Raw genomic sequence first — 24,067 nt, forward strand, 5'->3', positions numbered from 1 at the left:
CGGGTGCTCTCTACCTGCTTTTCCACTTCCATCTCCCACCACTAACCAGCCCTCCTAAACTCAACCTCCCGTGGTCTGAATCCTCACAGTTCTGAGGGCACACCATGTGGTCTCACACCTCCCTGCTTTTGCGCATGCTGTGAGCTTTGCCTGAAATCTTTTTCCTGACTAGATCACCTGAGTTCTTTAGCCTTTAAACTAAGCTCAGATGTCCTCCAAGGAAGCCTCCCCAGGTCAGCTGGGCTTCCCTCCACATGGCCTCCCTCCAGGCTCTATCACTGCACTACTGAATTGTATTATGTTGCCGGTTATGCTCCTTATGGCTCAGTCTCTTGAAGCCCTGATGCCAGTGGCTGGCCCCTGGGAGGTGCTCTGCTGATGTGTGCAGGAGGGAATGAAGTGTCCTCAGGATTCGTGACTTCCCTCTGCTCCTGGCTGGTGGCACCTTCTCCCGCATTCTCCTCCGCGTCACCCTCACTGCTCTTTTCCTATATCACCCCTGGACCACTGCAGGTGGTCCTTCTAATTGGTTCTCCCTGCCTCTCCTTCTGCCTGCTGAGGCCATCCTCCACACTGGAACCACAGTGACATTTCTGAAACGCCATTCTCCAGCTTAACCTGGCCTCCCTCTTTCCACAGTCCCTGATCCAGACTCCTGAGAACAGCACATTCTCTCCCGCCTGCCTCTCCCTCCCCATGTGCCACCCTCCCTCCTCACCCTCTGCCCTGACACCTGACACCTCAGCCATGCCCAGCTACTCTTAATTCCACGCACACACTGTGTCACATCCATGGCAAACCCGTCCCCTCCACAGCCCATCCTGACATGGACAACTCCTGCTTTTTTGCTCCCGGTGTCACTTATATGCACTGGTTACACACACCCCTTCTCAAACCCAGCATAGCGCGCTTCCTGCCACGTTGCAGTTACTTGCTTTCCCAGGCTGTCTCTCCTGCCCATCTGTGAATTCCAAAACAAGGTCCTCTCAGACCTGGCTAGCAGGCCCCTCCCTGGGGCCCCGCCCTTGAGAGGGCTTCATTCCCAAAGGGAACGTACCACCAGTGTATACGCACTAGGCCTGGGGGGTGGCTAGAGAGTCAGCAGGGTGTGGACAGAGTTTGGCTGCATAGGCTGGGATAGCTATGTGCGTACTGCAGTACAGAACAGAACTAGGGGGAAGAGAAGGGGACGTGGACTGAGGGCCAGGCTGTCTCCCTGTGCATTCTGGCACAGAACTCCAAGAAGTCTGAGAATTCTACATGTAAATCTGGCTTCACAGGCTATTATGAAGGTATAATATGTCAGGATAGACACATAGAACAAAGTTCATGTAAGGGTTTGTTCATTTGATTTATAACTTTTAAAAATGGAAACAGATGGTATGCGGGCCTTCTTTTATACTCTTGCTCCAGGCCTGTACATTTCAGGAGTAGGCCTGACCCCGGCGGACACACTCGCCCTGCTTGTTCATCATGGTGCCGCCAACATGCGGCCCGCTGCCTGGCACACAGTGCCTAGCCCATAGATTGTGATGAATGAATGGCAACATCTCTTTGTCACTTTAAAGTTTATGAAGACTGTAATTTTAAAAATATATCTTGGAAGGTATATTGGAAGGTAGCTAGTTACTCAGAGATACTTTTTCTGGTAGCAAAGATAACTTAAAAATCTAGCAAAAAGAACTACATAAATAGCAGTGCCTCACATTTTATAGAGTGGTTTATAATTTTCAGAATACTTTTGCATCCATAATCTAATCTGGTCTTGATTATTCTAGACCCTAATCTAGTATTCCTGTAATGTGGGCACAGGTAGTGGGTGAGGATATGTGTTTCGGAGAGGTTAAGCCGAGCACCAGTGTTCTCAGAATCAGAGAGGCCGCACCAGGACCTCGGTCTTTTGTAGCCACTGCTCTTATTTGACAAGGAAAAGGTTTCAGCCATGTTTGGTTTCCCAACAGCCAAATACATTGTAGAAAGTCATTCTTAATCTTTCTTTTTTCAGTGCTTTTCCACATAATGGTCAAAACCTAGGCCTCTCACCCTTCTTGGGGACCTTGAACACTGGAGGGTCATTGCCAGATCTAACCAACCTCCACTACTCGACACCCCTGCCAGCCTCCCTGGACACCACCGACCACCACTTTGGCAGTATGAGTGTGGGGAATAGTGTGAACAACATCCCAGCTGCTATGACCCACCTGGGTATAAGAAGCTCCTCTGGTGAGTATCTCCTGCTTAGCAGTGACCTGGTGGCTTAATCATAGGTGGTCCCCACCCATGTGGCCTGTTCAGTGAATCATTGAATGAGAATGACTGCATCCCAGTTAGAGATGATAATGTACCTTCTTGTATCTCCTGACCCTGCGGACATTTTTCTTGGATGTTTCTGTTTCTCCTGGGTTGATGAATTTGGGGCAGCTCTGCTGAACCTCATTCCTTATCATCCTCACTCGCTGCTCTATCCAGGGACTTGGGGAATAAGATATGGGAGCCAAGAAATAAGCATCCACTCCGTGTTGGCTGAACAGTATTAGTGGCTGTCATCAACATATGATAATTTATAATTTAGGCCATCTCTCTGGATTCCTTTCATTTTCCATTAGATTTCTAAAGGCAATATTCTGCATTTTAGAAAATTTACAGTGGATATGATGAAAATATTTATACTTAATATCTGTGTGTGAAGTAGAAATCCCCCACAGTTCCAGTTAAAGATGTAGCATTAGCTATATAAAGATGCTACCCATAATGGGACTTGGGTGTTACTCTCTGGGTTTGATTGTCCACAGCTCAGACCCCATATTGAAATTATGACTACATTTGTTTGAAGCCTGACACTTTTTTTTTTTTTTTTTTGAGATGGGGTCTTACTCTGTCACCTAGGCTAGAGTGCAGTGGCACGATCTCAGCTCGCTGCAACCTCTGCTTCCCAGGTTCAAGCAATTCTTCTGCCTCAGCCTCCAGGGTAGCTGGGATTACAGGCATGTGCCACGATGCCGAGCTAATCGTTTTTGTATTTTTAGTAGAGACAGGGTTTCACCATGTTGGCCAGGCTGGTCTCGAACTCCTGACCTCAAGTGATCCACCCGCCTTGGCCTCCCAAAGTGCTGGGATTACAGGCGTGAGCCACCACTGACATACCCTTGTCAATGTCTAGGGCAGGTGATAATCCTCTTACTCCCAGTGGTGCAGTACAGCCCCTGGCCGTAACAGTCCTACCCAGAATTGTGTTGTGGAGCATTTCATTTGGAAGGGATGCTCAGTGATGGTCTCCAGGTGAAAGCAGTGTTTGCTGCCTTTCACTCTGAGACTCATCCATGCAAATCAGAACTCACCACCCAAATGAGAGTGGTCCCCTTCAGGGGGGGTCACCTGGAAGTTTTTCTAATGATTGCAGTGATGCTGCCTGGTGCAACACAATCTTAGGTTTGAAGAATTGATTTCAGAGAACACCTTTATTTTTGTTTTTTGGGTCATTTTAGTATCCTTAATAGTAGCAGGTTTTTCATCGACTGAGTCTCAGTTTTGATATTTATACATTTGCTTCATAGGAGAAATTTGATATTTGCTTCACAGGAGAAACTCTCGAAACCTTTATGCCCAGATTCAGAGTCTGGGCAATTCACCTTTTGGGTGAATCCTCAATGTATGAAGATATCTAGGGTCCCAGAAGTAAAGCAGCATCAGCACATAGCTCCTTTGGGTCTCAGGGAAGCTGGCATTTTCCAGTACAGCCTTTGACACTTTGCTTCAAGCTGAAGATCTTATGTTTAGTCACTGGTTGTCTTCTCAAAAAAGCACTATTTTATCCAGAACATGTCAGAACCAATGTCAGTTTCTGTATTTTCTTTTTTTTTTTTCTTTTTGAGACAGACTCTTGCTGTGTCGCCCAGGCTGGAGTGCAGTGGCGCCATCTCGGCTCACTGCAAGCTCTGCCTCCTAGGTTCACGCCATTCTCCTGCCTCAGCCTCCCCAGTAGCTGGGACTACAGGCACCTGCCACCACGCCCGGCTAATTTTTTTAGTAGAGACGGGGTTTCACCTTGTTAGCCAGGATGGTCTTGATCTCCTGACCTCATGATCCACCCGCCTCGGCCTCCCAAAGTGCCGGGATTACAGGCGTGAGCCACGCCCAGCCGGCAAAATTATTTTTAAGAATTTTAGGCTGGGTGCGGTGGCTCACTCCTGTAATCCCGGCACTTTGGGAGGCCGAGGCGAGTGGATCACGAGGTCAGGAGATCGAGACCATCCTGGCTAACACGGTGAAACCCCATCTCTACTAAAATTACAAAAAATTAACCAGGCGTGGCGGCACATGCCTGTAGTCCCAGCTACTTGGGAGGCTGAGGCAGGAGAATGGCGTGAACCCGGGAGACGGAGCTTGCAGTGAGCTGAGATCATGTCACTGCACTCCAGCCTGGGTGACAGAGCGAGACTCTGTCTCAAAAAAAATAATAATAATAATAGTGATAATAATAATTTTGCCAGCTGCTGGATTTTTGTCATTTCTTCCTTTTCGTAACTTTTATCAAACACTTAAATTTTTTGTCAACACGAAACAACACATAGTTCTGCTTACCCCACCTGCTGGTACAAGAAAGATGGGCTGAAGGTTAAAACGTAGGTATTGCCAGTTGAGATACACACAGCAGCAGCAGCCGAATAATTGATTCACTGGGCGAACCTGCTCCATGCCAGGCCCTGTGCCAGGTGCTGAGGATCCAGCAGGGCATAGGACAGGATCCCCAGTTTCTGGGAGCTCATGCCCTAGCAGCCTATGCTGCAAAGATCTCTCTCCCAAATTTCCTTGCTCATGATCAAATTCACCCCTGTCCCCCAAATAAAGCACCAGCAAAAACTTCCTTTTCCCTGAGTTGGTATAGACTGTGATGAACAATTTCCTGGGAACCAGAAAATCAAAGAGGGACCCTGGGGTGGGAGATACAGGGAAGTGTCCCTTCCTGTGACTCCCTAGTGTGCTAAGGGTAATTAAAGACCACCAAGACAGCTCCCCAAGGGCCATGACTCGCCGTGGAAGGATGTTCTCCAAAGGTAGCAGGGGATGCAGGCAGTGTGCTTGGGACAGAGACCTTCCGGGGCTCTAAACAGAATTTGTTGTACAGCCCTAGGGTCCTTTCCCTGGGTCTGGGCCGAGCACCTGGAATATTTGCCTCTGTTACCCCGGTTTACCTAGTTTTGCTCACCTAGGGGTTGTTGACGTGATCTCCCTCCTCATGGGAAAACATCGTTGTCATCTTTGTGGCCCCATCTCTGTTAGTGCAGGGGCATCTTTTCCTTGCCATTGGTGCATCGGATGCAGTCCCTGTAGGAGAGCTGTCCAGGAGCTCCTTTACCTACAGAATCATCATCGCATGTGACAGTAGACAGTTTTCTTTCATTTTTGGAATACAAAAGATTTGGTCTGAAATTATAAGTAACTTGTGAATTTGTTGTCTTCCAGGTCTCCAGAGTTCTCGGAGTAACCCCTCCATCCAAGCCACGCTCAATAAGACTGTGCTTTCCTCTTCCTTAAATAACCACCCACAGACATCTGTTCCCAACGCATCTGCTCTTCACCCTTCGCTCCGTCTGTTTTCCCTTAGCAACCCATCTCTTTCCACCACAAACCTGAGCGGCCCGTCTCGGCGTCGGCAGCCTCCCGTCAGCCCTCTCACGCTTTCTCCTGGCCCTGAAGCACATCAAGGTTTCAGCAGACAGCTGTCTTCAACCAGCCCACTGGCCCCATATCCTACCTCCCAGGTAAACACACACAGACAGACCAACCACTACAGTGAAACAGACTGCAAGATATAGGAAGTGCATTCCTCCTCTTTACTATTTTGGGTTACACTCATTATTACACCAAGCACCCATGAGGTCTCAAGTGCAGTCTGTTCGCTCTTATATGTGAAATCAGAGCAGAAGTGTCAATAATGCAGAATGAATTCATGATTTTCTTTTCTTTTTTTGAGAAAGGGTCTCACTCTGTTGCCCAGGCTGGAGTGCAGTGGCACAATCGCGGCTCACTGCAGCCTCACCTCCCGGGCTCAAGCGATCTTCTCACCTTAGTCTTCGGAGTAGCTGGGACCACAGGCATGCACCACCATACCTGACTAATTTTTTGATTTTTTTGTAGAGACAAGTTCTCGATATGTTGCCCAAGCTGGTCTCAAATGCCTGGACTCAAGCCATCCTCCCAGCGTGGCCTCCCAAAGTGCTGGGATTACAGGCATGAGCCACTGCACCCAGCCTAATTAATGATTTTTTATTATAATAATAGCAGATTTGCTGTGTTGATTACTCTTTAAGCAAATGTTGAACAATCTGTAGTCACTAACTCACAAACTTGGGGTTGAGAGGAACGGTAGGATATAGAGAATGCCATCCAGGTAAGTCTAAGGCAACTGAGGGAAACCAGGTTAGGATTTCAAAGTTGGCATGGAAAATCAGTCATTGACTCTCTAAGTACATTAAGCCATAGGGGAAAGCCAAAGAAAACATTTAATACCTTCCTGAAGCTTTGATAATGAATTAGACCTCTTCCCTAATTGTCTACAGATTTGAGAAACAATACTTTTATTGTTCATGAAATGCTAAGTATGTTGAGGATTATATCTCTTATAAGGATGAAAAGAAGTCTGTTGAGAAAGAGGCACATTTAAAAGTCACCCACCCATACAAAAAATGGAAAAATTAGCTGGGTGTGGTGGCACACGCCTGTAGTCCCAGCTACTCCAGAGCGGAGGTGGGAGGCTCACTTGAGCCCAGGAGGTCGAGGCTGCAGTGAGCCAAGATAGCCTCACTGCACTGTAGCCTGGCAACAGAGTGAGACCCTGTCTCAAAAGAAAAGAAAAGCCCATTATAGAAACACAGGGGTTGAAACATCCTATAAATTCTAAACTCAGAGGTGGTTCTCCTTATACCATAATCATCGAGGAATGTGTTTTCAACCTTTTGTCACATCCTCTGTCTATTACAGCATCATTTTTTTTTTTTTTTTTTTTTTTTTTTTTTTTGAGACGGAGTCTCGCTCTGTCGCCCAGGTCGGACTGCGGACTGCAGTGGCGCAATCTCGGCTCACTGCAAGCTCCGCTTCCCGGGTTCACGCCATTCTCCTGCCTCAGCCTCCCGAGTAGCTGGGACTACAGGCGCCCGCCACCGTGCCCGGCTAATTTTTTGTATTTTTAGTAGAGACGGGGTTTCACCTTGTTAGCCAGGATGGTCTCGATCTCCTGACCTCATGATCCACCCGCCTCGGCCTCCCAAAGTGCTGGGATTACAGGCGTGAGCCACCGCGCCCGGCCTATTACAGCATCATTAACTACTCACCACCTCGCCATAAATTAATGATTTAGAAGGAAGAGTTGACAGAACACAACGGAGAGTTAGAGGATCTTGTTATTGGTCACTCTTTACCAATTACTAGCCGTGGCGTGTTGATCGTATGAGTGATCTCTTTTGGGCGAGGGTGAGAGGACATTTCATAATTTTTAAGTCTCACTCTGTCGCCCAAGCTGGAGCACAATGGCACGATCGCGGCTCCCTTGCCTTGAATTCCTGGGCCCAAGTGATCCTCCTGCCTCAGCTGGGATTCTTCAAGTAAATGTGACTACAGGCCCATGTCACCACACCCAGCTAATTTTTTTAATTTTTTTGTAGAAACAGGGTCTCCCTGGGCTGGGTGTGTGCCTCACACCTGTAATCCAGCACTTTGGGAGTCCAAGGCAGACGGATCACTTGAGGGTAGGAGTTTGAGTCCAGCCTGGTTAACATGACGAAACCCCATCTCTACTAAAAATACAAAAATTAACCGGGCATGGTGGCACACGCCTGTAATCCCACCTACTCAGGATGCTGCGACGTGAGAATTGCTTGCACCCTGGAGGTGGAAGTTTGCAGTGAGCCAGGATTGCACCACTGCACTCCAGCCTGGGTGACAGAGTTACTCTGTCTCAAAAAAAAAAAAAAATTAGAATTAAAAAAAGAAAAGAAAGAAATAGGGTCTCCCTATGTTTTCCAGGCTGGTCTTAAACTCCTGAGCTCAAGTGATCCTCGCACCTCAGCCTCCCAAAGGGCTGGAATTAGCCAGTGTGCCTTGTGCCAGGCATGAGCCACTGTGCCCTGCCATAATTTTTATTTTTTTTTAGAGACAGCGTTTCACTCTGTCACCCAGGCTCGAGTGCAGTGGCGCGATCACAGCTCACTGCAGCCTTGAACTCCCTGAGCTCAGGTGATCCTCCCACCTTAACCTCCCAAGCACATAGGACTACAGGTGTATACCATCACACCCGACTAATTTTTGTATTTTTTTTTTTTTGTAGAGATGGGGTTTCACCATATTGCCCAGGCTAGTCCATAATTATTGTTTTCGTGGTTCTTATGTTATTGAATTACCTTTAATTTTATTTTGCAAGATTATTTTATAAGATCTAAAAGTATTCTTGCTTTTTAGCTACATTTTAAGGAGACTGTATGGCCAGAGTGTCCCCTTTCAGATGTGTTTTTAATTTGTTTAATATTTAGATTTTTTTTAAATGAATGTTGCTGGACACAGTTGTTCTGACTGTAATCCCAGCTACTCAGGAGGCAGAGACTGGAGGATTGCTTAAGGCCCGGAGTTCAAGACCAGCCTTGGCAACATAGTGACACCCTATCTATCTCTTAAAAAAAGGAAATTTTAAAAAGTGAATGTTATTCATGCACATAGTTTAAAAAGTAAAATAGTTCTAAAGGGCTTGTTATAGAAAAACAGCTGTCTTTCCCTCTCGTTAGGCATATTCCTCACTGCCTAGAGATGGCTGTCAACCATTTTAACTAATCTCTTTGGTATAACCATGTTATTATTATTTTGAGACAGAGTCTTGCTCTGTCACCCAGGCTGGGGTGTAGTGGTGCGATCTCAACTCACTGAAACCTCCACCTCCCAGGTTCAAGCGATTTTCCTGCCTCAGCTTCCTAAGTAGCTGGGACTACAGGCATGTGCCACGACGCCTGGCTACTTTTTGTATTTTTAGTAGATACAGGGTTTTACCATGTTAGCCAGGCTGGTTTCGAACTCCTGACCTCAGGCAGTCTGCCCGCCTCGGCGTCCCAAAGTGCTGGATTACAGGCATGAGCCACCTCACCCAGCCTAACCATGTTGTTTTATGCTTTTTTTGTTCTACATTTTTGGTGTTAGGCATTATCTAATGACATCCTACCAATGAAGATTAGAATTTAATTCTCTTTCCACTCTCCCACAGACTCCACCACACACATATGTGCGCACATGTGCACACACAATTTCCTACCCACCCTCCTCATTTATTATAATTTTGGTTAGAGCAATACTCAATATTTAGTGTTTTTATAGTTACAATGTAGTCAGAGTTGACATATAGTATACTATGAAACAAGAAAATGAGAATTTTTTTTCCTCTTGGGAGTTAATAAATGTCTGACTTTTTTTATTAGCCTGGTTATCTATATGTATCTATGTGTATGACTAATTCAGTCCCCAACTCTTGGAGTTGGGCAGATCTCCTCTCGACACATTCAAAACTAAATTCTCTAGTAGCTCTATAGCAAAGAGTGCCTGTGACTTTGTATGACTTAAAATGTCTTTATTTGATCTGCCATTTAATTATTATTTGGCTGAATATAGAATTCTAAATTTGAAATAATTTTCCCTTGGCATCTATTGCCTATTCATTTGTAAGTTGCATTGAGAAATCCAGTGCCATTCGGACTCTTAACACTTTGCATGGAATCCCCCTGCTCCACCCCAGGCTTGTGAGATCTTTTTGTCCCCAGTGTTCTGAAACTTCAAGATGATGTGGCTTGGCGTGAGTCTGCATATTTGGTGGGTTCCTTCAATCTGGAAACTCACAGCCTTCATTTCTGGGAAATGTTCTTTATTTCTTCAATGATTTCTTCCCTTCAGTTTTCTCTGTTCTTTCTCTCTGGAACTCTACGAATGTTGACTATCCTGGACTTTTCCTCTATTATCCTTATCTTCTCTCTCTCCTCTTTTGCTTCTCTGTGGTTGCTTCCTTGTTTGTTTGTTTTGCTTTGCTTTCTGGAAGATTGTCTCAGCTTTATCTTCCAACACTTCTGTTGAGTTTTCCATTTCTGCTCTCATTTTTAAATTGCTATGAGTTCTTTTTTGTTCTCTGAGTGTTCTTTTTTAATAGCATCATACTTATTCCACAGATGCAATATCATCTTTTATCTCTCAGGTTTTTAGTGGTCTTTTTTTTTCGAATTTATCTTTATTTTCTATAATAGAATTTTCCTAAATTGCATAAAAGTAGAGAACATAATACAATAAGTCCTCCTATACCCATCATTTACCCTCAACAATTAATTTTTTTTTTTTGAGACAGGGTCTTGCTCTGTTGCCCAGGCTGGAGTGCAGTGGTGTGATCTCGGCTCATTGTAACCTCCGCCATCCAGGTTCAAACCATTCTCCTGGCCTCAGCCTCCCGAATAGCTGGGACTACAGGTGCACACCACCACACCTGGCTAATTTTTGTAATTTTTAGTAGAGACGGGATTTCACCATGTTGGCCAGGCTGGTTTCAAACTCCTGACCTCAGGTGATCCACCCACCTCAGCCTCCCAAAGTCTGAGATTACAGGCGTGAGCCAGCACGCCAGCCTTGTTATCTTGTTTCATCCATACCCTGCTTTTAAAAATTGCAGATATTTTAATATGTATCTCTAATAGATAAGGATTTTCTTAGTAGCCTAAATATTGTCATGCTGATTTTGGTTTTTCACAACTACTTCTTCCTGCACACATCTTTCCAAGATTGTGTGTGTCTGCTCTGGCCTCTGACTTTCACGGCAGATGGTTTCCTCAGGGCCTGGTGATCCTCAGTGCTCTGCTCATGTTTAAGAACAGGACACTGAGGGGCTGTCTCCTTGCGGCTCTACACTAGAGCGGAGTATGAGACTGAGGCGAAGGGAGTCATGGCAGGACAAGCGTGTAGAAAGTTTTTTCCACTCTCTGACTGAGTATTGGTTGGAAGGAGCGCTGCTAAAACTGTAACCAAAGGAGGCATTTTGCTTCCAGAAAAATCTCAAGGAAAAGTATTGCAAGCAACAGTAGTCACTGTTGGATCGGGTTCTAAAGGTAAGGCTGGAGAGATTCAACCAGTTAGCGTGAAAGTTGGAGATAAAGTTCTTCTCCCAGAATATGGAGGCACCAAAGTAGTTCTAGATGACAAGGATTATTTCCTATTTAGAGATGGTGACATTCTTGGAAAGTACATAGACTGAAATAAGTCACTACTGAAATGGCATCAGTGTGAAGCTGCCCATTCCACTGAAGTTCTGAAATCTTTCATCATGTAAATAATTTCCATATTTCTTATAATAAACTAATGATAACTAATGACATCCAGTGTCTCCAAAATTGTTTCCTTGTACTGATATAAACATTTCCAAATAAAAATATGTAAATGAGAAAAAAAAAAGGACACTGAGAAGCTGGCTGGCAGCTCTGTGTATGTGGGCAGGCCTGCTGAGTGTGGTCTTCATTGTAGAATGATCTAGCTTGGTCATTTCCTTGGGAAACTCCTGGTGTCATAAGTTTTACATTCTTCTCTGGCCAGGCGTGGTGGCTCACACCTGTAATCTCAGCACTTTGGGAGGCCGAGGCGGGTGGATCACCTGAGGTCAGGAGTTCGAGACCAGCCTGGCCAACATGGTGAAACCCCGTCTCTACTAAAAATACAAAAATTAGCCAGGCGTGTTAGCATGCTCCTGTAATCTCAGCTACTCGGGAGACTGAGGCAGGAGAATTGCTTGAACCCAGGAGGTGGAGGTTGCAGTGAGCCAAGGTCATGCCACTGCACTCCAGCTTGGGTGACAGAGCAAGACTCTGTCTCCAGAAAAACTCTGTCTCCAGAAAAAAAGATTTTCTCTCTTCAGGCCTTGTCAGGTTCCCTAAAGGACACTCTTCCAATGTCGCACCTCGGCATATCAGGATTCCGGCATCCTGTGAGCCGGGTTGGGAAAGAAAGGTGGAGATCTTAAGATTCGATCGTGAAATTTCTTCTAAAGAATAAAATACCTAGGAATCCAACTTATAAGGGATGTGAAGGACCTCTTCAAGGAGAACTACAAACCACTGCTCAATGAAATAAAAGAGGATACAAACAAATGGAAGAACATTCCATGCTCATGGGTAGGAAGAATCAATATTGTGAAAATGGCCATACTGCCCAAGGTAATTTATAGATTCAATGCCATCCCCATCAAGCTACCAATGACTTTCTTCACAGAATTGGAAAAAACTACTTTAAAGTTCATATGGAACCGAAAAAGAGCCCACATTGCCAAGTCAATCCTAAGCCAAAAGAACAAAGCTGGAGGCATCATGCTACCTGACTTCAAACTATACTACAAGGCTACAGTAACCAAAACAGCATGGTACTGGTACCAAAACAGAGATATAGACCAATGGAACAGAACAGAGCCCTCAGATATAATGCCACATATCTACAACCATCTGATCTTTGACAAACCTGACAAAAACAAGAAATGGGGAAAGGATTCCCTATTTAATAAATGGTGCTGGGAAAACTGGCTAGCCATACGTAGAAAGCTGAAACTGGATCCCTTCCTTACACCTTATACAAAAATTAATTCAAGATGGATTAAAGACTTAAATGTTAGACCTAAAACCATAAAAACCCTAGAAGAAAACCTAGGCAATACCATTCAGGACATAGGCATGGGCAAGGACTTCATGTCTAAAACACCAAAAGCAATGGCAACAAAAGCCAAAATTAACAAATGGGATCTAATTAAACTAAAGAGCTTCTGCACAGCAAAAGAAACTACCATCAGAGTGAACAGGCAAACTACAGAATGGGAGAAAATTTTTGCAATCTACTCATCTGACAAAGGGCTAATATCCAGAATCTACAAAGAACTCAAATTTACAAGAAAAAAACAAACAACCCCATCAAAAAGTGGGCGAAGGATATGAACAGACACTCTTCAAAAGAAGACATTTATGCAGCTAAAAGACACATGAAAAAATGCTCATCATCACTGGCCATCAGAGAAATGCAAATCAAAACCACAATGAGGTACCATCTCACACCAGTTAGAATGGCAATCATTAAAAAGTCAGGAAACAACAGGTGCTGGAGAGGATGTGGAGAAATAGGAACACTTTTACACTGTTGGTGGGACTGTAAACTAGTTCAACCATTGTGGAAGTCAGTGTGGCGATTCCTTAGGGATCTTGAACTAGAAATACCATTTGACCCAGCCATCCCATTACTGGGTATATACCCAAAGGATTATAAATCATGCTGCTATAAAAACACATGCACACATATGTTTATTGCAGCACTATTCACAATAGCAAAGACTTGGAACCAAGCCAGATGTCCAACAACGATAGACTGGATTAAGAAAATGTGGCACATATACACCATGGAATACTATGCAGCCATAAAAAATGATGAGTTCATGTCCTTTGTAGGGACATGGATGAAGCTGGAAACCATCATTCTCAGCAAACTGTCGCAAGGACAAAAAACCAAACACCACATATTCTCACTCATAGGTGGGAATTGAACAATGAGAACACATGGACACAGGAAGGGGAACATCACACACCGGGGCCTGTTGTGGGATGCGGGGAAGGGGGAGGGATAGCATTGGGAGATATACCTAACGTAAATGACGAGTTAATGGGTGTAGCACACCAACATGGCACGTGTATACATATGTAACAAACCTGCATGTTGTGCACATGTACCCTAGAACTTAAAAAAATAAAATATTAAAGAAAAAGAAATTTCTTCTAAACCCTGTGTTTTCAGTAAAGTGCCTCACCTTCTAATATCCAGAGACCCTTAGTTTTATTATCTCGAAAGTAGAACCTTCCAGTCTCCTGGCAGGTGGCAGGATGGTGGGGGCCAGTGCGCAGAAGCACACTCAAGGCAAGGGCTCTGCAGGTCCAACTGCCCCTTACACAAACTGTGACCAGAATCTCCTGGTTTTAGCTTCACCGCCTGCTCCCTGCTGTCCCCAGTCCCAGAGCCCTGTGGGGACTGAGTGCTGTCAGTGAGATTGCCTCCTGGTTTTTCCTCACTGCCAGCCTAGCATCGGGTTTTCTCAGCTCTGCTAAGCCAGCTGCCACCGGGCCATCTGCTGCTCATTTTCCAGCTTTTGTTGCCATTTTCTTCTCTCCCGTTATCTTTGTCCTCGTGTTGTTTGTTATCATTTAGTGTTCTGTGCTGTTGTTTAGTGTTTTTTATTAATGCTTATTGCTTGTTAATGTTGTAGTGTCTTGTTTTAACAGGATTTGGGGATGACAGAGCTAAGGGCCTTTTTCAATTTTCCACTTTTAACCAGAAGACACGGCTATAAAACAAAACAAAACATGATTTTCACGGAGAAAACTGAAAGGAAATTGGTTAAATTGGCTGTTTTCTTGTTTAGTTCTTTTAAGACAATAGAACTTGTCATTGAATGGAACATGCTTTGTGGGGAAGTAAAATTTGAGATATACTTTGAAGGATGAGAAACGGGCTTCTCACAGCATTGCACAGAACACCGCGGTGAGGAAAATCTCAGGCTTCCTCTCACTCTGACATTTCCTAATCCTAAAGGACTTAACGCCAGAAACGCAGAAGCTCATTAGTGGCTTTGTGTGTTTGTTTTGCAGATGGTGTCCTCAGACCGAAGCCAACTTTCCTTTCTGCCCACAGAAGCTCAAGCCCAGGTGTCGCCGCCACCCCCTTACCCTGCACCCCAGGAGCTCACCCAGCCCCTCCTGCAGCAGCCCCGCGCCCCTGAGGCCCCTGCCCAGCAGCCCCAGGCAGCCTCCTCACTGCCACAGTCAGACTTTCAGCTTCTCCCGGCCCAGGTGAGTTCTGGCAGGAGCGTTGGTGCAGAGGGAATGCTTGTTTTGCTCTGAGTTCCAAGCTAAATGATCATCTCCTTATTCCCTGAAGGGCTCATCTTTGACCAACTTCTTCCCAGATGTGGGTTTTGACCAGCAGTCCATGAGGCCAGGCCCTGCCTTTCCTCAACAGGTGGGTGATCGCCCCTGCCTTCTCCTCCCTTGGTGCATAAACTGTACCATTTAGGTTGTTCATTCTGTAGAATTCAGAACTGAGCAGACCAGACATGCCACTTTCCTGGTTCTGGTTGTGTTCTGTGGCTAGAAGAGCCTTTCATCTTCTTTGGCCCTAAAATGCTTTCTCTGGCTGCCTTATTTAGTATCAGGCTTCAGCAGAGGAACTATTGGAACAATCGGCAGGAGACTTTTGATGACACTCTCGTTGTAGAACTGTAAAATCATGAACACTGGAAGGGACACAGCACCTGCCTCCTCAGCGCCCTCATGTTGAAACTGAGGCATAGGGAGAGTGGCGCCTGCTCCCACCGCAGAGTCAGAAGGTGGCGCCGCATTTGGCCTGCACCCAGGCTGGTGCACCCAGCACAGCGTGGGGCCTCCTGGGGAGAGCTCAGTCCTGGGGAGTGAGGGGAGTGCGTTCCGTAAGGTATTTTCAACTCGGCCACTTTCTTTTACAGTTTAGTTTTTTCCTAACATTGACTATTTTTAATATTCTAGATTTTATAGTATTCAATAGTATTCAATAAGTATGGACTGGGCCCTCCGATGGATTAAGGAGTGGAAGAAGGGTTGAACAGGTTCCAGAACTTTTTTTTTTTTTTTTTTTTGAGACAGAATCTTAATCTGTCGCCTAGGCTGGAGTGCAGTGGCGTGATCTCGGCTTACTGCAACCTCCACCTCCTGGGTTCAAGTGATTCTCATGTCTCAGACTCCTGAGTAATTGGGGTTACAGGCATGTACCCCTACACCTGGCTAAATTTTATATTTTTAGTAGAGATGGGGTTTCACTTTGTTGACCAGGCTAATCTTGAACTCCGGACCTCAAGTGATCCACCCGCCTTGGCCTCCCAAAGTGCTGGGATTACAGGTGCGAGCCACTGTGCCCAGCCAAGAACTTAATAAAATAGCTGGGCATAGTGGCTCACGCCTGTAATCCCAGCAGTTTGGGAGGCCGAGGCGGGCGGATCATGAGGTCAGGAGATCGAGACCATCCTGGCTAACACGGTGAAACCTTGTCTCTACTAAAAAATACAAAAAAATTAGCTGGGCGTGGTGGCAGGCACCTGTAGTCCCAGCTACTCGGGAGGCTGAGGCAGGAGAATGGCGTGAAGCCGGGAGGCGGAGCTTGCAGTGAGCTGAGATCGCACCACTGCACTTCAGTCTGGACAACAAAGCAAGACTCTGTCTCAAAATAAGTAAATAAAATAATAATAATAAAATAAATTAAGATAGCTGTTTCCTAAGCAGGCCACAGATGAAGCTTTGTGGCAAGAACCAATCCTCCTTGCCTCCCTGTTTCCCAAAGAGCCATTTTAGTCTAGGTGGGAATCACCGTCTCCCTGAAAAATGATAGACACTTCTTTTGAGACTTTTTTTAAAATGGCTTAGAAAATTAATTTCAGGAAAGGAACCTAAAATTGGCACTGGTTATAACCAGTCCTCATAGAGGCTTTCTCATAGGGAGGAGCTTGCCTGAGTTTCCTCCTTCTGAGTGTGAAAAGGAAAGCCTTCCCCTTTCTCAGTTTTCTAGAAACCAGGGAAGAGGCCAGGTGCAGTGGCTCACACCCATAATCCCAGCACTTTGGGAGGCCAAGGCCAGTGGCTTACTTGAACTCAGGAGTTTGAGACCAGCCTGGGTAAAATACAGCAAGACCCTGTCTCTAAAAAAAATACAAAAATTAGCCAGGCATGGTGGCATGTGGTCCCAGCTATTTGGGAGGCTAAGGTGGACGGATTGCTTGAGCCTGGGAGCTGGAGGTTTCAGTGAGCCGAGATGGCGCCATTGCACTCCAGCCTGGGCAACAGAGACCCTATCTTTAAAAAAAAAAAGAAGAAAGAAACCAAGGAAGAAGAGTCCATACTTCCTTGGTTATAGACAGAGCCTTTGAAGGGTTCCCACAGAAGGCAGTTTGCAAAGGCCTTGGTGAGGCTGAGGACAGATGTCTGAGGGGCCACAGAAACCATGAGCATTGGTGTCTCTTGGGATGGTGTAGTGGGCTGGGGAAAAGTCACCACGCTGTGGACCTCAGGGACCCCTCCTCCACCCCAGCGTCTGCCTGCCTGACAAGAATATTGTGCATGCATTACCATAAGAGCAAAGCACTCTGGGATCCTGGAAAGAAGGGAATATGGATTAGTTTGCAAGTCAGGTTTTGCTCTGGGAGCACATTGCAATACTCACTTCCTCCTTGGAAACAGAGGTGTGGCCTTCCTCACATGACCTTCGATGCTTCCAGGTGCCTCTGGTGCAACAAGGTTCCCGAGAACTGCAGGACTCTTTTCATTTGAGACCAAGCCCGTATTCCAACTGCGGGAGTCTCCCGAACACCATCCTGCCAGGTGAGCGAGCTATCCCTCAGCTTCTTTACTGCTTTTATGTTGTTGTGTGTTCAGGAACCTTCATAAGAGAGTTTAAACAACATAATATTATATAAAGCAAAAAGTTAACGTTCCCTGGGTCGACTTGACTTTTTGAGATGCAGGTGTCCAGCCTCAGAGACCGTGACACAGGGCGGTGGGCCTGGTAGTCAAAGCCTTTTCTGAAAGATTTCATCTGGCCCAGTGCGGTGGCTCACGCCTGTAATCCCAGCACTTTGGGAGGCCGAGGTGGGCGGATCATCAGGTCAGGAGATCGAGACCATTCTGGCTAACACAGCGAAACCCCGTCTCTACTAAAAAATACAAAAAAAATTAGCTGGGCATGGCGGCGGGCGCCTGTGGTCTCAGCTACTCGGGAGGCTGAGGCAGAATGGCACCAACCCAGGAGGTGGAGCTTGCAGTGAGCCGAGATTGTGCCACTGTACTCCAGCCTGGGCAACAGTCTCCAAAAAAAAAAAAAGATTTCATCTTAGGTGACTGATGACTGTTCAAAAGGAAAAAACCTGCAAAAATTGGGAGTTGTGCAACTGACTGACAAGAATGTAGATTCCAGGGCAAGAACTGTGGGCCTGGGGGTGGTCAGGATGTGTGGGATAGCAGTTTAGGGGACTGTCATCAGCTGGGTTTGCTTAGTAGCCTGGAGCCTTCGCGCCTCCTAACCGCACTGTTTTCCCCTCTGGCCACTCCTTTCAGAAGACTCCAGCACCAGCCTGTTCAAAGACCTCAACAGTGCGCTGGCAGGCCTGCCTGAGGTCAGCCTGAACGTGGACACTCCATTTCCACTGGAAGAGGAGCTGCAGATTGAACCCCTGAGCCTGGACGGACTCAACATGTTAAGTGACTCCAGCATGGGCCTGCTGGACCCCTCTGTTGAAGAGACGTTTCGAGCTGACAGACTGTGAACAGAAGGCAGTGGAACAGAAGAATGTTTTTCTGCAACAGCCAAAATAGAATGGAATAGAATGAAGCCAGCTGATACCACGGGCTTTCGTTATCTTGACATAGAAGGAAGCAATGCCACGGCTCCAGGGTTTCAGATGAGATCCCATCTCAGACACTGTGGCTTCCTCCAGATCACACAGCTTTGTACTGCCTCTCCCGCCTGTGGCCAAAGTCGTGTTGCAGCAGGCAGGCTGCTTGGAGCTTCCCATGAACTGGAAAGCTCACCTCCACTGCATCTTTTTACTGGCCATCCAGTCAGCCGATGTGTAAGAGTAGGAAATACTGTGTCACTGGAGGCCTCCGTAGCATTGTGTAGTGTGCTCAGAACCACTGATCTCCGTCCGCACCGAAGGCGGGCCCGGAGTGGGAGGCTCGGCCTGGGGCGGCGGCACCGGAGAGGGCACCTCGATGCCTGCTCTGACCTGACCCAGAGGGCGAGGCCCTCCAGCGGGGGACATTCCCAGGCTGAGTGGACCCCACGGCTCTCTCCCACGCCTGGATTACGACATGAAGTTTTTACCACAAGCCCGAGGGCAGGCTTGAGTTAGGCAGACTGAAGGCTAATTTTCATTTTCTCCCAGCTGGTTTCTGCTGCTTCAGAAAAGTACACCTTTTCCTTATGGACCAGAGGAAGAGGAAGACCATTTTATCAGTCACTGAAAAGAGTCCCCTGGCACTGATGAGCCTGAAGAGAACTGTGCTCCTCCTCGGGGGCTGGGGAAGGAAGACAGGGACTGCAGGTGTCTCATACTCAGTGGCCTCCAGACAAACTCCAGACAAGCACAGACCTCCCCACTAAGAGCAGCCAGAGGGAGCTGGTGAGGCCCTAACCCCACCCACCGAGCAACTGAGCTTCCCCATCCCTCCCCAGAGCTGTGTCTCTGTGGGCTGGGAGTCTAATGTCACCCCCCTAGACCGTAAGCTCCTTGAGGGCAGGGACAGTGCCTTATCATTGTTGAACCCGTAGCACCTAACACGTGCGTGGCAGCACAGTCGTGTGCTGGAGTGAGTGCTGCAGAACCGTGCGTGCAGCGCATGATGAATGAGTGCGTCCGCCATGCCGTAAGGCAGGCTCACCTGTAGCTATCCCCTTCCCTGCCAGATCTTCTCAGAGCTTTAGCTTTTCTAGCACTCGTGCCTATGGTGAAGCATGCACTTTAATATGCTTTTAACACTAGGTGACCAAATCACAGTGAAGCCGGGCACTGCATTCTCCTTGGGCTGTGCTCCACGCGGGTGGGTGGGAGCTGTCTTCTGAGTACATCCGGAAGGGCTGAGCAGGTGAGTGCCCTGAGCATCCTGGCTGGGCCCCACCCAGGAAGATCTTCCTTCTCAGATCCACGTTTGGCTCTAAATTGCTTCAAGTAGAGATTCATTCTTTGAGGTTGAAAAAATAGTTTATAGTAAAACGAAGGCCTAATTCATGGAAGCATCATTAGTCATCAATACCTTCTCATAAAATAGATGGGCCAGATTTCCACCACCGCCTGCCTCCTCTAACTTGGGTGATGCCAGTAGGTTTGAAGGGGGCAGAGCACTGCAGGGGGAGGGGGGGGTCTAGGCTGTGAGAGGACAGGGTGGAGAGGAGGAGAACCCTGAAGGAGAGACGGAAGATGCCAGGACCTTTGCTTGGACAGCCATTGCCCTTCCAGGAGACCCTGGAGTGTACTGAGGGTTGCTGGACTGTTCCACCCAGAGGAGCAAGGCTGTACAATGAGGGTCTGAATCTGGCACACCTGTCCCTTATGTAAAAGGAGTCGTGGTCACAAGACCCTGGGCTGGTTAGCCTCTCCCGACCTCATTCCATTTCTATCTTCTGACCTTGCCTCTCATCTTTAAAATAACCCTCATGGGGTGCCCCTCCACCTTCCTCTGGAATCCAAGTATTCCTGTTTCACATTTGCCCCAAATCTTTGCTGTGGAATTGGGAAATCAAACCAGAGTCCTCCTCGCCTGATTTCCAGCTCAGGAAGGGCCTGCTGGCCTGCCCTGTTCCCAGTTACACTTTCAGATCCCTTTGTGCTCAAGATCTCAGAGGGGGTGGCTTTTTGTTAAAGAGCCTTCAGTCGCAATGCTACCCAGCACCCCATGTGCCAAAAGAAACCAGCTCCTGTGTCAAAGGGCTTCCAAACCTGATCTCACTCTCAACAGGCGATGGTGCTGATGTTTCAAGAATTGTGTTTTTATAAAACAGAGGTCTCAGCATAGTCACTCTTCACATAGTGCCTTACCCATGGGTATCGTCATATCCGGGTCCCAGTTCAGTTTGTCTGCACAGCAGCCACCCTGCCTGGCAACAGAGACCCCAAGACCTACACAGTGAACCCTACTGCCCCAAAGGCGTTCTCCAGGTGACTTGTGAAAACAGACCTCCGGGGAAGTGATTTATTGGGGGTGTACACTGGGGGCAATATGGTTTAGCACTGAATTCAATTTGTCCTTAGGTCTATGAGTGAGTCCGATCTTTTCTTGTGAAAGGTTTTGGGCATCGTACAACCCACTCTGCCTAGAAGGTGTGGAGGACTCACCACGGGCAGGGTCGCCCTGGCCCACAGCACGTGAGCCTGCACTCACTGCGGCCTTTGTAACAAAACCAGTTGTGGTCCTCAGCATTTGAAGCAGCTGCATACTTCAGAGTAAACTATTTTTCATTATTTAGTTTTGTCACAAGAAATCGACCATTGTACTACTCTCACTTACAGCAGTTAAACAGCATAGAACTAAAAACCTGTCTGCATTTCCATTTTTTCTTTCTGTATGGTTGTGGGTTTTAGGACATAGGGGGTTAGGAGAAGGGGTTTCTTGATCATGTCATGAATTCTCCTTTGTCCTGTTTCTCCTGTTTCATTTCTCCTCCGCCTGCTGTATATTACCTGAGCTGGTGTTGTATCTTCAAGTCCATATGCGTATTTGCAGACCTTTCCTGTTCCCACTCTTGTTGGCTCTTCTGATTTATGCACAGATGGTTCCCAGCATGTGTCCAGTGCTTCATGGATGGGACCATCCCAGCAACTAATCAGACTTCCTGCCAGTGTCCTAACCCCCAGGGCACCCTGTTCAACCATATTTAAAAATTGGAATTTGTATAAAGTTGCTTCCAAGTTTTATAATGCATCATTTTACATCTTTTGTAATTAAAAGCATCACAATGAGGTTGTCTCTGCATTTGGTGGTGTTTTTCTTCACTTGGGTGAGGGGTTGGTGGGGAGCCTTAATCTCACCGCCTCCTGCACGGCTCAGCCTGCAGCTAGGATTTGGAGCCTTGGCAAGGCAGGCCCTGTACCAGCTGTGGGTCAGGCCTTCTTGTGATACGTGAAGGGGCACTCAGTTCCCTTAGCTGGAGGCAGCTGGGTCTCCTGCCCCCACAGCCAGCACCCGCTCCACACCCCTGCCCACGGCCCTTCCTCCACCAGATACTCTGTCCTGGGTTGGCCTCTAGCCCTGTCCCTTCCCCAGACCCCCATCCCAGCAGGGTTCAACGCGAACAGCCACATCTAGCACTTGTCATAAAGGTGACTGTCTCCTGAAATCCTACCTGGAAATCCTGTTTCTGACTTTAACTTCCTGAGCCCCCATTTCCACTCTGGTCTACACACACCCTGTTCTTTGACCGCACTGAGAATTCTTCCGTGTCCCCTCTTCTCAGCCTGCCCGTCCTCTCCTAGCTTCCCTTGCTTCTGCCCGGGCCCACCTGGCTCGTGGCCTCCGTGGCACCCCCAGGCCCCTTCTCCTGCCACCACGCCACTCTTCCTCCTCAAGACCTGCCACCACGTCACTCGGGCTGAGCTTTCTGTTGCTGGGAGCCCTGCGGGAAGAACCAGCACTTCCAGGCTGTGCTGACCCAGCCCTCTCCTGCCACGTGGGGCACCCACGCCCTCCTCTCCTCAAGGCTCATCAGACCACATGAGGCCTTCTTGCCTCCCATCCAGGCCACCTGGGCCAGCTCCCGCCGTGTCCCAGCTGCTCCCCATTCCGTCCCATGGCCCGTCGCGCCTTCCCCAGCGTCCCTATGCCTTACGAGGTCCTGTTTCCACGTCAACCTGACCTTCCGCAAGGACTTGCTGATGTTCTAGGGCCTTCTACTTAGCCCTCTCTGATGGCACCTCCCCATCAGCCTGTGAAGATGCCCAGTCTCCTTCCTCAGAACAAACAGAAAACTCTCCTTTCCCCGCCGGCTACCCCTCATGCCACAGCCCTGTGTCCTGCCTCTCCTGGAGGAGCACTCCTGCTCAGCCTCCTTCTGCCCGCAGCCCCAGGGAGCCCTCCAGGATTCCCTACTCTCCTGCCTCTGTCCAAGGCCCTCTGATGTCAGCCGCATCCTGACCCTTTGGCCACTCTCTCCCCTCCGAAATCCTCTCTGGCTCCAGTAAGGCTTTTCTGCATATTCTACCACCCAGGCCATGCCTGTCTCCTATCATCCTCCCCCTCCACCATCATCTTCTTTCCATCGACCTCCCAAACCAACTTCTCCAGCCCTCCAAGCAGACGACCCTCATACTTAGCCCTCTCCCCACCTGCCTATCAGCCAGTGCTCATGCCCACCCCACCCCTTGTTTTCTGGAGATCCGGGTCCACCTGCAATTGACATCCAGCTTCCCCACAGGGCTCCAAACTCTGCAAGCACAGGGGCATGTTTACTTGTATGCCACTTCCCCAGCACCTGGCACACAGTAGGGGCTCGAAAAATCCGCAAATTCTTCCGAACTGTTGACAGCAGCTTCCTTCTCTTGGAGCTCAGCCCCCATCACCGCCATGGAGCTGGAGACCAGGTGTCCTCCAAACACCTCCTCTTCCTCACCTCTCCTCCTCCTGCACACCCCAACTCCTCCACACCCACTCCCCCTCTACAATCCTCCTCCTCCTCAACCCTCCTCCTCACCCCTCCTCCTCCACAATCCTCCTCTTATTCCACACCCCTCCTCCTCCAACCCCTCCTCCAAAGCCCTCCTTCTCCTCCACACCCCTCCAAATTCCACAGCCCTCCTCCACCTCTACACCCACTGCTCCTCCACAATCCTCCTCCACACCCCTCCTCCTCCACAATCCTCCTCCACACCCCTCCTCCTCAATCCTCCTCCACACCCCTCCTCCTCAATCCTCCTCCACACCCCTCCTCCTCCACAATCCTCCTCCACACCCCTCCTCCTCCACAATCCTCCTCCACACCCCTCCTCCTCAATCCTCCTCCACACCCCTCCTCCTCCACAATCCTCCTCCACACCCCTCCCCCTCACCCCTTCTCCTCCACCACACCCCTCCTCCTCCACACCCCTCCTCCGCCTCACACCTCCCTCACCCCTCCTCCTCCACACCCCTCCTCATCCTCCACACCCCTCCTCCGCCTCACCCCCCTCCTCCTCACCCCTTCTCCTCTCCACATCCCTCCTCCTCAACCCTCCTGCTCCACATCCCTCCCCCTTCACACCCCTCCCCCTCCCCCTTCACACCCCTCCTCATCCTCCACACCCCTCCTCCTCACCCCTCCTCCTCCTCACCCCTCCTCCTCCACACCCCTCCTTCTCCTCACCCCTCCTCCTGTGCCATCTTTTCAAACACAGGATACTTTAATCTTGAAAAGTACTGAATTTGTATACTTGTTTTGAAATACTAAATTTTCGATCTGGAAGGAATGATTTTAGATCTTATTTTGGGCCAGG

The 24,067-nt window shown here is 48.0% G+C and overlaps 1 protein-coding gene, 1 long non-coding RNA gene and 1 pseudogene across 3 annotated transcripts in view, besides 2 other annotated features; 2 read left to right on the forward strand and 1 right to left on the reverse strand.

Moving 5' to 3' along the window:
- CRTC3 (CREB regulated transcription coactivator 3) overlaps window positions 1–21,575 on the forward strand; it is a 115,423-nt gene extending 93,848 nt beyond the window's left edge. Inside the window, exons 10-15 of one of the 2 annotated variants that reach the window (NM_022769.5) lie at window positions 2,006–2,223; window positions 5,464–5,762; window positions 14,676–14,876; window positions 14,965–15,045; window positions 17,327–17,429; window positions 18,162–21,575. In NM_022769.5, the coding sequence (NP_073606.3) occupies window positions 2,006–2,223; window positions 5,464–5,762; window positions 14,676–14,876; window positions 14,965–15,045; window positions 17,327–17,429; window positions 18,162–18,370 (1,111 nt within the window). In that variant the 3' untranslated portion in view covers window positions 18,371–21,575. The remainder of the gene's footprint in view (window positions 1–2,005; window positions 2,224–5,463; window positions 5,763–14,675; window positions 14,877–14,964; window positions 15,046–17,326; window positions 17,430–18,161) is intronic. The other variant, NM_001042574.3, reaches the window with a different exon arrangement.
- The window catches only part of CRTC3-AS1 (CRTC3 antisense RNA 1), a 97,132-nt gene that overhangs the window by 3,762 nt on the left and 69,303 nt on the right, over window positions 1–24,067 (reverse strand). Inside the window, exon 3 of the long non-coding RNA NR_120372.1 lies at window positions 17,272–17,487. This is a non-coding gene — a long non-coding RNA (CRTC3 antisense RNA 1). The remainder of the gene's footprint in view (window positions 1–17,271; window positions 17,488–24,067) is intronic.
- HSPE1P3 (heat shock protein family E (Hsp10) member 1 pseudogene 3) lies at window positions 10,901–11,449 on the forward strand (annotated as a pseudogene).
- Window positions 16,954–18,153: an enhancer, noted in NCBI's record as "P300/CBP strongly-dependent group 1 enhancer chr15:91183956-91185155 (GRCh37/hg19 assembly coordinates)". NCBI's record gives its function as "activates an origin of replication core promoter dependent on BRD2, BRD4, P300/CBP, MED14 and CDK7 cofactors, with strong dependence on P300/CBP, by STARR-seq in HCT116 cells {active_cell/tissue: HCT116}" and the evidence as "EXISTENCE:reporter gene assay evidence [ECO:0000049][PMID:35650434]".
- Window positions 22,834–23,017: a silencer, noted in NCBI's record as "fragment chr15:91189835-91190018 (GRCh37/hg19 assembly coordinates)". NCBI's record gives its function as "represses an EF-1alpha promoter that drives an FKBP-Casp9 reporter gene in an ReSE screen in K562 erythroleukemia cells {active_cell/tissue: K562}" and the evidence as "EXISTENCE:reporter gene assay evidence [ECO:0000049][PMID:32094911]".

This window comes from Homo sapiens, chromosome 15 (genome assembly GCF_000001405.40).
Source record: "Homo sapiens chromosome 15, GRCh38.p14 Primary Assembly".
Classification (NCBI taxonomy): Eukaryota; Metazoa; Chordata; class Mammalia; order Primates; family Hominidae; genus Homo; species Homo sapiens.